This window comes from Homo sapiens, chromosome 9 (assembly GCF_000001405.40).
Source record: "Homo sapiens chromosome 9, GRCh38.p14 Primary Assembly".
Lineage (NCBI taxonomy): Eukaryota > Metazoa > Chordata > Mammalia > Primates > Hominidae > Homo > Homo sapiens.
Genome location: NC_000009.12, coordinates 42,305,979 through 42,318,093, shown reverse-complemented (window position 1 = coordinate 42,318,093; position 12,115 = coordinate 42,305,979). Strand labels below are relative to the sequence as shown.

The 12,115-nt window shown below is 40.1% G+C and overlaps 4 annotated features.

The window, feature by feature from the left end:
• Positions 320-820: an enhancer, noted in NCBI's record as "NANOG-H3K4me1 hESC enhancer chr9:43496615-43497115 (GRCh37/hg19 assembly coordinates)". NCBI's record gives its function as "activates a minimal SCP1, AML or CMV promoter by ChIP-STARR-seq in primed H9 embryonic stem cells {active_cell/tissue: H9 hESC(primed)}" and the evidence as "EXISTENCE:reporter gene assay evidence [ECO:0000049][PMID:30033119]".
• Positions 9,187-9,994: an enhancer, noted in NCBI's record as "H3K27ac hESC enhancer chr9:43505482-43506289 (GRCh37/hg19 assembly coordinates)". NCBI's record gives its function as "activates a minimal SCP1, AML or CMV promoter by ChIP-STARR-seq in primed H9 embryonic stem cells {active_cell/tissue: H9 hESC(primed)}" and the evidence as "EXISTENCE:reporter gene assay evidence [ECO:0000049][PMID:30033119]".
• Positions 9,995-10,801: an enhancer, noted in NCBI's record as "OCT4-NANOG-H3K27ac hESC enhancer chr9:43506290-43507096 (GRCh37/hg19 assembly coordinates)". NCBI's record gives its function as "activates a minimal SCP1, AML or CMV promoter by ChIP-STARR-seq in naive and primed H9 embryonic stem cells {active_cell/tissue: H9 hESC(naive and primed)}" and the evidence as "EXISTENCE:reporter gene assay evidence [ECO:0000049][PMID:30033119]".
• Positions 10,802-11,608: an enhancer, noted in NCBI's record as "OCT4-NANOG-H3K27ac hESC enhancer chr9:43507097-43507903 (GRCh37/hg19 assembly coordinates)". NCBI's record gives its function as "activates a minimal SCP1, AML or CMV promoter by ChIP-STARR-seq in primed H9 embryonic stem cells {active_cell/tissue: H9 hESC(primed)}" and the evidence as "EXISTENCE:reporter gene assay evidence [ECO:0000049][PMID:30033119]".

Below are 12,115 nucleotides of genomic sequence, written 5' to 3'. Positions count from 1 at the left end.
AATTGAGAATTGGCTCAAGTAATGACAGAAGCTGATTAGTATGGAAATTTGAAGTCAGCAAGTTGGAGACCCAGCAGAGGTAAGGTATAGTCCAAAAGCTTGCAGCCTTGAGGCTCAAGAAGAGCCAATGTTTTCGTTCATTTACGAATGTAGGAAAAGACCAATGTCCCAGTTCACACAGTCAGGCAAAAGGAGCTCCCCAGTACTCACGGGAGGGTCAGCTGTTTTGTTCTATTCAGGCCTCCCACCAAGAGGATAAGGACCATCCATATTGGGGAGTGCAGTGGGCTTCACTCAGCTAGAGATTCAAATGTTAATCTCATTCAGAAAACACCCTCACAGACACACAGAATAATGTTTGACCAAATATCTGAGCCACCCTGTGGCCCAGTCAAACTGATAGTTTTTCCTTAGGTTATCTCCAGTGTCATTTAAATATTAATATTTATAGTATATTATTGATGTAAATATTAACATTTATTACCCAGGGGTTGTGTTCTCTTGATAATGTTCTATTTTTTTAATCTCTGTGAAAAAATGTTTTATGAAGTGTGGAATTTATCTGCTACACTGACATATTCTGCATTAATCTTTCTCTATTTTGTGGTTGTCAATCACTGGTACAGTTTCAGAGAGCAGGAAATGAAGATTCAGCCTTTAACTCCTACACAATCCACAGTGTTTTTTTCCCCTCAGAACTGTCATAAAAACTGTTGTATTTTATTTAGATTTTTAAATTAACAACTAAAGCCATATTCTAGTAATACTTTAATAATCTAGATTTCATATTTTAGAGTAGAAGGCTGCATCATATTTAAAATCACTGCAGAGACTTTGAGGTTTTCAAATTAATATCATATTAAAAATTTTTGCACTCTGAAGGCTTTCATTTATTGCTTTAAAAAAATGTTGAAACTCAGAGTTCAAATGATTTAAAAAACTCTACATCTAGATACAGTTAAGGTAAACTTTGTATATCTCTGTAATGACTTTCACTGCCCCTCATTATCAATCAAGAGCATTGAGATAAGGACTGGAAAATATTAAAGATATATGTTAATATTTATATAAACATATTAAATGTGTGTGTGTCACACATACACACACACACAGAGCAAGAGAAAGGGCAAGAGAGGGACAGTAACTGTCTTCAGAATATCAAAAGTTCTGCTAATCGGCTCTTTTGCAGAAGCTTGTCCTCACTCTCCGCATAGGGGAAAGAGAATGAGCTTAAAGACAGAACTTCCTGCTGAATTAATTAAATATATCCATTACTACTGACAGAATCAGTGAGGTTAAGCCCCTCTGAAGATGACAAGATAAATTGTCACTATTATGGCACTAGAAATGAGATACTGGGATAAGATTTCATTACCGTATTATCACAGGTTTACTTAATTGGCAAAGTTTCACTTAAGAAGGATGCAGAAATTCTGAACACAAGTTAGCATTTCTAGCACGATGGTACAAGATGTGTTATTGAGTAAGTCAAAGATGCCATAAACGCAAATTTCAAGGAATGGTGTAAGGCTCGGGTGGTGGCTCACACCTGTAACCCTAGCACTTTGGGAGGCTGAGGCAGGTGGATCACCTAAGGTCAGAAGTTCGAGACCAGCCTGACCAACGTGGTGAAACCCCGTCTCTACTAAAAATACAAAATTAGCTGGGCTTGGTGGTGGGTGCCTGTAGTCCCAGCTACAAGGGAGGCTGAGGCAGGAGAATCGCTTGAACCCGGGAGGCAGAGGTTACAGTGAGCCAGGATCGCACCACTGCACTCCAGCTTGAGCAACAAGAGTGAGACTCTGTCTAAATAAATAAATAAGTATAAAAGGATGGCAGGAATGCAAAACTTGGTGCACAGTGCGCTGCAGTGGTGCCGCCTGCTGTCTGATGGAAACATCACAAAGACATAAGCACAGACTAAGAAAAAAAGTTTTAAAAGTCAAAGGGATAGGTAAGTAAAAAATTGAATGCAATATGTAGGAAATGCTGCTTTCTTATTTTTATTTTTATTATTTATTTATTTATTTATTTATTTATTTATTTATTTATTTATTTTTGAGACAGAGTCTCTCTCTGTCGCCCAGGCCGGAGTGCAGTGGTGCGATCTCGGCTCACTGCAAGCTCTGCCTCCCGGGTTCACACCATTCTCCTCCCTCAGCCTCCCAGAAATGCTGCTTTTTAAAAGTGGCCACTCTTATGCTAATAAAGCCATCCATGAGACAAGAACGTGGTTAAAATATAATAGCACATACAGAAAGCAATACTGCTTTGTCCAAGTCAGTCCCATTAGTCCTGGCATGATTTCTATAGCACTCCTTTCAAATAAAGAATGTCCCAATTTAAATGAAGAACACTATATAATCATCCTAATCATAATAGCAAGATTAAGTCATCATTTGTAGTAAAATCTTACAACAGATTGTGATTGGCTGTGTAGTGACAAAATAATTGGAAAGTGGCAAATAAAACTGGTCATAGAGGGTCTTAGACTATATTTGTTGCCTTGAAGACATGATGGGAGAATTAAACTTAATAAATGACCTCGGCCTAGATGAAATATCCTTCTTAAACCAAATATTTCTGCAAGGTATGGATTGAATCTTCATACCAAGTCCAACGAATTTTTGTCCTGCTGGAAACTAATTGAGAAGGAAATTAACAGGAATTAAGGTGAGATGAACAAGGTGAGTTGCAAAAGTGCAGGCTCAGATCCTGCTAAATTTTAATATTTGCTCATGGTGACTTTTTTGCATTAATTTTAATATTTTTAAATAATGTATTAAAACATTATTTATTTTGATTGCTAAGTTTTGTGCTTACCCATTTAATTGTGTTCCTAAGGGGAGTACCTCACTTACCTCACCTTGTAACAGATTCTATACAAGGTATACCTGGGATTAGATATAAAGAACAATGAAGTCAGAACTGTGTTATGGGGGTTTCCACTCCAGCTACCTGAAACTGAGGTTGCCCTATCTTAGTGAGTTCAAAGCTGGAGATTCTGTAAATAGACACGGGGACTGTGAGGTCCCTGCACAAACAGGTCATATCTGTAAATTAAACTTTGTGATTATAATAATTTTTTTTTTGAGATAGAGTCTTGCTCTGTCACCCAGGCTGGAGTACAGTGGTGCAATCTCAGCTCACAGCAACCTCCACCTGCTGGGTTCAAGCAATTCTCCTGCCTCAGCCTCCAGAGTAGCTGCGATTACAGGTGCACACCACCACACCCGGCTAATTTTTTGATTTTTACTAGAGATGGGGTTTTGCCATGTTGGCCAAGCTGGTCTTGAACTCCTGACCTCAGGTGATCTGCCCGCCTTGGCTTTGAGAACAAGAACACCATGTCTGCTGGTGTGTTAGTCGATTTTGTGTTGCTATAAAGAAATATGTGAGGCTGGATAATTTATAAAGAAAAGAGGTTTATTTGGTTCACAGTTCTGCAGGCTGTACAAAAAGTGTAATGACAGTATCAGCTTTTGCTGAGGCCACAGGAAGCTTACAATCATTGCAGAAGGCAAAGTGGGAGCTGGTGTATGACATGGTAAGAGAGGGAACAAGAGAGATGCCAGACTTTATTTATTTATTTATTTATTTATTTATTTATTTGAGACAGAGTCTCACTCTGTAGCCCCAGCTGGAGTGCAGTGATGCGATCTTGGCTCACTGCAACCTCTGCCTCCAAGGCTCAAGCAATTCTTGTGCCTCAGCCTCCCGTGTAGCTGGGACTACAGGTGCACTCCACCAGGCCTGGCTACTTTTTTGTATTTTAGTAGAGGCGAGCTTTCACCATGTTGCCCGGGGTGGTCTCGAACTCCTAAGCTCAATCAATCCGCCGGCCTCAGCCTCTCAAAGTGCTGGGATTACAGCCGTGAGCCACTGTACCCGGCCTAGACTCCTTTAAACAACCAGCTTTTGCATGAACTAATGCAGGGAGGACTTATTCGTTACTATGAGGAAGGCATCAAACCATTCATGAGGTCTCCACCCCCATGACCCAAACACCTCCCACCAGGGCCTACCTCCAACATGGGAATCACATCTTAACATGAGATTTGGAAAGAACAAACATCCAAACTATATATATATATATATATATATATATATTTTTTTTTTTTTTTTTTTTTTTTTTTTTTGAGATGGAGTCTTGCACTCTCGCCCAGGCTGGAGGGCAGTGGCACGATCTCGGCTCACTGCAAGCTCCGCCTCCCGGGTTTACGCCATTCTCCTGCCTCAGCCTCCCGAGTAGCTGGGACTACAGGCGCCGGCCACCATGCCCGGCTAATTTTTGTATTTTTAGTAGAGATGGGGTTTCACCATGTTAGCCAGGATGGTCTCGATCTTCTGACCTTGTGATCCGCCCGCCTCGGCCTCCCAAAGTGCTGGGATTACAGGCGTGAGCCACCGCACCTGGCCATCTAAACTATATCAGCTGGTGGTTTGCCCTAAGCTTTTCTCCCCCAAGTTTCTTTTTTCAGAAATAAAGTTTGTCTTTATCTGACGTCAGCAGATTGGTGTTTGCTTTTGCCTGCTGTATTCCTTTAGTTTCTAAAATAGTCCAAATTCCTCACCCTTCCCTGAAAATGTTGCTCTTACGTTGACATAATATGTCTAGTTTCATTCAGTGGTTAATATTATAATATAGTACTCAGATTAGAGTTTGCAGCTGTTGTCGTTAAATTTAGGTCATTCTAAATTTACAAGTTAGTTGGGAAGAAAACAACCGCAAATTCTCAACCCTCATCACCATTTCTGCCTCTCAGTGCTCATATAAAGTCACTACAGAAAAAGAAGGAATGCAGCAATTAAACAAGCTCATCTGTAACACGATTAATTTTTAACTCTTTAATTCACTTGTTTCTCATAGGAAACTACATTAACATGACAGGGTTTTTTTTTTGTTTTTTTTTTTGTTTTGTTTTGTTTTGTTTTGAGACGGAGTCTCTCTCTTCTCCCAGGCTGGAGTGCAGTGGCGCCATCTCGGCTCACTGCAAGCTCCGCCTCCCAGGTTCATGCCATTCTCTCGCCTCAGCCTCCTGAATAGCTGGAATTACAGGCTCCCGCCACCACGCCTGGCTAATTTTTTGTATTTTTAGTAGAGACGGGGTTTCACCATGTTAGCCAGGATGGTCTTGATCTCCTGACCTCGTCGTGATCCGCCCGCCTTGGCCTCCCAAAGTGCTGGGATTACAGGCGTGAGCCACCGCATCCAGCCATGACAGTAATTTTTGAAAATGAATTGGCACAGCAATTCAAGAAGAGGAAATCGGACCCATGGTCTCTAAAGGACTTCCCAGCAATAATGTGCTGGGCTGTTCAGAAGTATCACTGATAAAAGGCTATGCCCATGTGCACAACTGGCCTGACCTCATGTGCATATCAGTTCACCTCAACCACCATCCCGTCTGCTAAAATAAGTCACATTGGTTGCCTCCCAAAGTTCTCTATTCAAACCAGTAAACTCAGTTAAATAGGTTGTGAATAGGAAAATCCAAAAGTCACTGGGAAAAGATGTTATAAACTAAAATATTCATAGAAACATTTTTTATGAAAGCCAGAAAAGGAAAAATAAACAACTAAGATGCCTAAAAACCAAAAAATGGATGAATAAAATGTGGCAGATGCATTCAGTGGAATATCATATAGCAGTGAAAATTAAGGACATTAATTACATGTATCAGCATGCCTGAATCTCAAAAACTCAAGTTGAACAATAATAGCTTTTAAAAAAACACAGAGTTAATATGTATGTTCCAAGTCTACGAAGTCTTTAAAAAGAGGAAAAACAGGCCAGGCGCAGTGGCTCACGACTGTAATCCCAGCACTTTGGGAGGCCGAGATGGGCGGATCACGAGGTCATGAGATCAAGACCATCCTGGCTAACACGGTGAAACCCTGTTTCTACTAAAAAACCAAAAAAATTAGCCAGACGTAGTGGCGGGCGCCTGTAGTCCCAGCTACTCGGGAGGCTGAGGCAGGAGAATGGCATGAACTCGGGAGGTGGAGCTTGCAGTGAGCCGAGATTGTGCCACTGCACTCCCGCCTAGGCGACAAAGCAAGACTCCACCTCAAAAAAAAAAAAAAAAAAAAAAAAAATAGGGAAAAACAAAAGAGTATATTCAAAGAATCACAAACAAAAAGTAAAGGAATGATAAACAAAATTTAGGATAGCATTTACCTTGAGGACTAATAAATATTGGTAATGTTTAATTTATTAAGCTAGGAGATGGACACATATATTTTCATTCATAGAACTTTTTTTCCTAAATGTATGTGTATGCTATATGTCACATGCATGACATATATGTGCATGACATGTGATATATATGTGAACTACATATAGTTCACAAAAACTAAATGTAGATATGGTATACAATCACACAAAGGCACTTAATGTATCAATGTGTCTATATATACATTTATGCCTAACTTATGACAATAAATATACTCTCAAATACCTGGTCATCATTAAATCTAATACGTAGAATATTAAAATATGAAAGAGGATGCTGTATTTGTTATTAGTCATTTTTCTCCAGTCTATTTTCTTTTGCATCATTTAATAAATTAGTAGAGAACTTTCCTCCCATTCCTTTTAGTGTTTTAAAATCTTTTAATTTAAAAATTATAGCTCTTAGATAATTGCCTTATGTATTGTTTTTAAATTTTGTTTCCTATGGGTTGCTGTAAATCTATCCTAAGTGGCAAAGTTTTAAAAACAATATGGGTCAAAAGTGCACAAAGCTCTGAAAATGAGAAAAGAAAATGACCAAACCTTTAAGATTCCTAGCATTATTCTGCCTATCACCATAATGTTTGCTTGGAGGGAGGCAGGCTATGAACTGAACAACCTAATTTATGGCTGATGTGCTCTCTGGCCATTATGGGCAGAATGTGAGCTTCTTCACAGCAGTGGCTCTCAGCATTTCTCTTCACGTTCTATGGGCTACAGCAAGTCACATGACCAATCCCAACTCCATTGTGTCAGGGATGTATAATCCTCTTACTTGGAGGACAGCAAGTAATTGGGAACAGTAATACAATTTGGCACACAAAACAAATCTTCAGAGAGTGTCAGGGTCAAGAGAAGCATTTGTCCGAGAAAAAGTTACTCTAAACTTGCAAAAAGATAAAAATCATAATGCTTGATTAAAAAAATACTGAATTATTTTCTAATTATTTACTTGACCCTAACCTGACAACATTTATAGGAGTGATATAAAGTCAGACTATTTACAGACTGTGAGTCTAGAGGTCAGCAGCAAAATTTAGAAATTATCATGACTCTGTAGCCCAGTGGTTTACTGTCATAAAAGATATATTTTATAATGAAATAGACCACCAAGTAGAACAACAGACCACTGAAATAAACCATCAAATGACATCCTATAATTTAAAGGTATGATGAAAAATGGAAAGAGTTGTAAATGTTTCTTCTAGAGTTGTCATTTGGTGCTTCTGTTGGAAGGGCTATGGAGGAGGCCGGGCGCAGCGGCTGACGCCTGTAATCACAGCACTTTGGGAGGCTGAGGCTGGCGGATCACGAGGTCAGGAGATAGAGGCCATCCTGGCTAACACGGTGAAACCCTGCCACTACTAAAAATACAAAAAAATCAGCCGGGTGTGGTGGCAGGCGCCTGTAGTCCCAGCTACTCGGGAGGCTGAGGCAGGAGAACGACGTGAACCCGGGAGGCGGAGCTTGCAGTGAGCCAAGATCGCGCCACTGCACTCTAGCCTGGGCGACAGAGCGAGACTCCATCTCAAAAAAAAAAGAAAAAAAAAAGTTTGACACAGTTTGATCTTTTTCTAACACCTGGTGGCATTTTTACAGCATAACCTTTAAAAAGTCATTCTAGAATATCCTAATAGATGTATACATCCCTCTACCTAAATTTTTGTAGATGTTATTTGCCTACATAGTGAATGACATTGTATTTCAGCAGAATTTATTATTCAACTTTTAAAAACAAAGCTCCTGCATTTATATCCATTTTCCATATCTCTATGTCATAAAGATAATGAATTTAATTGGACAATTTTCTTTCAAATGTGTGCAGCCTCCTTCCACTTCCAGGTCTGAAAGAGGACAGTATATTTTATAGACCACACGATTGCCAGAGTGGAAACTGGAGTGAGTGGAAGATTCCACATAGTTTTACTTGTGATACTCTAGAGACTAGTGGTGAGGTGTCTTGGAGATGGCATAATAATACAAATAACTAAATATTACTGAGTTGTTACTGTATATGGCACTATGTTAAAGGTTTCATAGGCATCACTCCTCATCACAACCATTTTTTTTAAACAGCTTTATTGGGATAATTCATATATCATACAATTCACCCATTTAAAGTATACACTTCAGTGGTTTTTAGTATGTTCAGGGGTTGCACAGCCATCACCACGATTAATTTTAGGGCATTTTCATCACCCAAAAAAGAAACTCCATGACCATTAGTAGTCTTTCCTCATTTCTCTCCTCCCTCCATCTATCCTCTCCTCACCATCCCTCGGCCCCAAGTGATTGCTTATCTTCTTTCTGTCTTTATACATTTATTATTTCCTGGACATTTAACTATCTAAGTGTAATTATATATCTTTTGGCCAGTATCTTCCCATTGCCCCCAACATCCCAGTCTCTGGTAACAACCATTTTACTTTCTACTTCTATGACATAAACTTTTTTTTTTTTTTTTTGAGATGAAGTCTAGCTCCTGTCACACAGGCTGGAGTGCAGTGGTGCGATCTCGGCTCACTGCAACCTCCACCTCCCTGGGTTCAAATGATTGTCCTTCCTCAGCCTCCCAAGTAGCTGGGATTACAGGCGTGTGCCACCATGACCGGCTAACTTTCGCATTTTTAGTAGAGATGGGGTTTTGCCATGTTGGCCAGGCTGGTCTCAAATTCCGGACCTCAGGTGATCCACCCTCCTCGGCCTCCCAAAGCGCTAGGATTACAGGCATGAGCCACCACACCCAGCCCAACTTTTTAGATTCTACATGTGCGTGAGATCATGCAATATTTCTCTTTCTGTGCCTAACTTATTTCACTTAACCTAATGTCCTCTGGGTTCATCCATGTTGTTGAAAATAACAGGATTTCATTCTGTTTTTTGGTTCAATAGTATTCATATATATACCACATCTTAAAAATCCATGTATTCATTGATGAACACTTAGGTTGATTGCGTATCTTGGCTATTGTGAGTAACACTGCAGTAAATGTAGAAGTGAAGACATCTCTTTGACATACTGATTTCATTTTCTTTCCATATATGCCATAAGTGAGATTGCTGGGTCATATGCTCGTTCTAGTTTTAAGGTTTTGAGGAACCTCCATAATGTTTTTCATAATGGCTGTACTAATCTACAACACAACCCATTCTAAAATCTCATTTTAAAGATGAGAATTATGGTGGATCAGCCATTCATCCATGGTCACTCAGCCAGCAAAGTTCAGAGCCAGGTCAGGAACATCACCTGTCCTCTGCCTCACCTTGAACCATTTCTTGTGTTGCCTTGCAGGGAGGGTGTTGCCTGCCCCCTCATGTGTCAGTCTGTTAAGTCCAGTAGTGAAGGAAAGTGTTCACATGTCCATATGCACTGCAGATGAAGAGAGTATGGAAGCTTGGAGGGAGAAATTGCTCTCTTTCTTTCTGTCCTTTTTTTTTTTTTGAGACGGAGTCTTATTCTGTCACCAGGCTGGAGTGCAGTGGCACAATCTTACCTCACTGCAATCTCTAACTCCCTGGTTCAAGCGATTCTCCTGCCTCAGCCTCCCAAGTAGCTGGGATTACAGGCAGATGCCACCACGCCCAGCTAATCTTTGTATTTTTAGTAGAGACGGGGTTTCACCATGTTGGCCAAGATGGTTTCGATCTCCTGATCTCATGATCTGCCCACCTCGGCCTCCCAAAGTGTCTGTCCTTTCTTTATTCACCAGCCACAATGACACACAGAACATAGTAGGAAGAAAATAGTTTATATTTATTCCTAAGAATATAAACTTCTGTTACCATTCTAAATTTCCAGAAAAACTTATTGTGAGTGCTAAACTAATATCATCCTGACCTAAGACAAATTGTCAGTTCCTAAGGGTGAGATTTATAGGAGAAAACCATGTCTACGCTTGAGGCAGAGTTCTTAGTAGAGATACAATAGCCAGTTGCTATTATTTCAAAGTTTGTCTGTCCCTAAATATTGCCTGCTTAGGTCTGACTATGCTAGGATTAGTGATCATCTGCTCTGAATTAAAGGTTTAGATGCACTCTTCCCAGGATAAAATTAAGTTTGGGGACTTTCTCTTTTCCTGGGAGCAAAAACCTCAGGAACTAAGTGTGCCATATGCTGGAAGATGGAAACATTCCAACAGCCAGAAGTAGAGGGAAGATAAAAATGGCTTCCCTAAAGCAAGGCAAATCAGCGACAGCCAGTCCTGTGGCCACCACTAATCACTTGTAAATGAATGCTGCGATGTGTTTCAAAAGCCCTCATTCTGACTCTGCCTGATCTGCTACTGAAATGTTAATTATATGCCTAATCTTCTCTTGCAAGCAAAGGCAGCAGAGTTGCTAAAGATCATAGCAGGTAAAAACCTTCAAGGAGAGGTAAGGAGTAAATGGAGCTGGGAGGGAATGCTGTCTCTCAGGACAGAGCCTGGCTCATTGAAAGGGCATAGTCCTACCCTATAAGGGATGCCTCCCAGTGTGACCAGGTCTTCTATGATTTCTTTTTATGAGAAACCAGAAATCTGATTATGTTCATGAGAAATTGGAGTTTTACAAATTAGCAAAACTGTGCTGTGCTGAGAAAATAGAATAAACCTGAAGGCCAGAGGTGTGCTGGGAGAGTCACTTACAGAACCAGAGCAAATACTTACATAGAGCAATGATGTGTTTTAATAAAAACAGGGACTACTGTGCTTTGTAAATGTCTTTATGCCTTCTAAACGTCCTTTCTCCTGAAGTCTATAACGTGACATGGGATAGCAAAGTATTTTTTGGCATGAACCATTGCATTGAATATCTTAACCCATTTGTGTTGCTATTAAAAAAAACTCCTGAGACTAAAAAATGTATTTAAAAAAGAGGTTTATTTGGCTCATGATTCTGCAGCCCATACAGGAAGAATGGCACCAGCATCTGCTCAGCTTCTGGTGAATTTCTGAGGTTGCTTCCACACATGGCGGAAGGCAAAGGGAAGCCAGCATGTAGTGAGATCACATAGTGAGAAAAGAGGAAAGAGGGGGGAGGGGGTGCTAGGCTCTTTGTAACAACTAGCTTTCTTGGGAACTAACAAAGAGCTCATTCATCCCCTCTCCCCGGGGAGGGCAACAATCTTTTCATGAGGGATCTGCTCCCAAGACCCTAACACCTCCCATTAGGCCCCACCTCCAACACAGGGGTTCAAATTTCAACATGAGGTTTAGGAGACAAACATCCAGGCTATGTCATTGGATCCCTAATAGGCTGAAGTAATGTGTTAAAAATAAGTTGTAAATAATTATATGCAAAAACACATAGCATTTTGGAAACTTTGCAAGATAATGAAAATATTTATCTGGATTTTAACTTAATTCACTCCATATTCTACACAAACATATTTTTAAAAGATAATACAATATTTGAGACATTAATATATGTTAGATAACCAATTTACATCCTCAAGAGCTAAGAAAGTGTTAAGTTGCCCTTTCTTAATAAAAACAAAATTTATGATGTTAACTGTTTTTTGTTTGTTTGTTTGTTTTATTGAGACAGAGTCTTGCCCTGTTGCCCAGGCTGTAGTGATCATGGCTCACTGCAGCCTTGACCTCCTGGGTTCAAGTGATTCTTCCACCTCAGTCTTTGGAGTAGCTGGGATTACAGGCGCATGCCAACATATCTGGTTATTTTTTATAGAAGCTGTGCTTCACCATGTTGCCCAGGCTGGTCTCAAACTCCTGGGTTAAAGCAATCTGCCTGTCTTGACCTTCCAAAATGCTGGGATTTTAGGTGTGAGCCACTGTGCCTGGCCTATGACGATAACTTTTTTAAAAGACAAAATTAGAACAAATTTAGTTATGGATGTAATTGGCTTCTATTTGTAAGTCATGAATCAGGGCAGCCGGCATT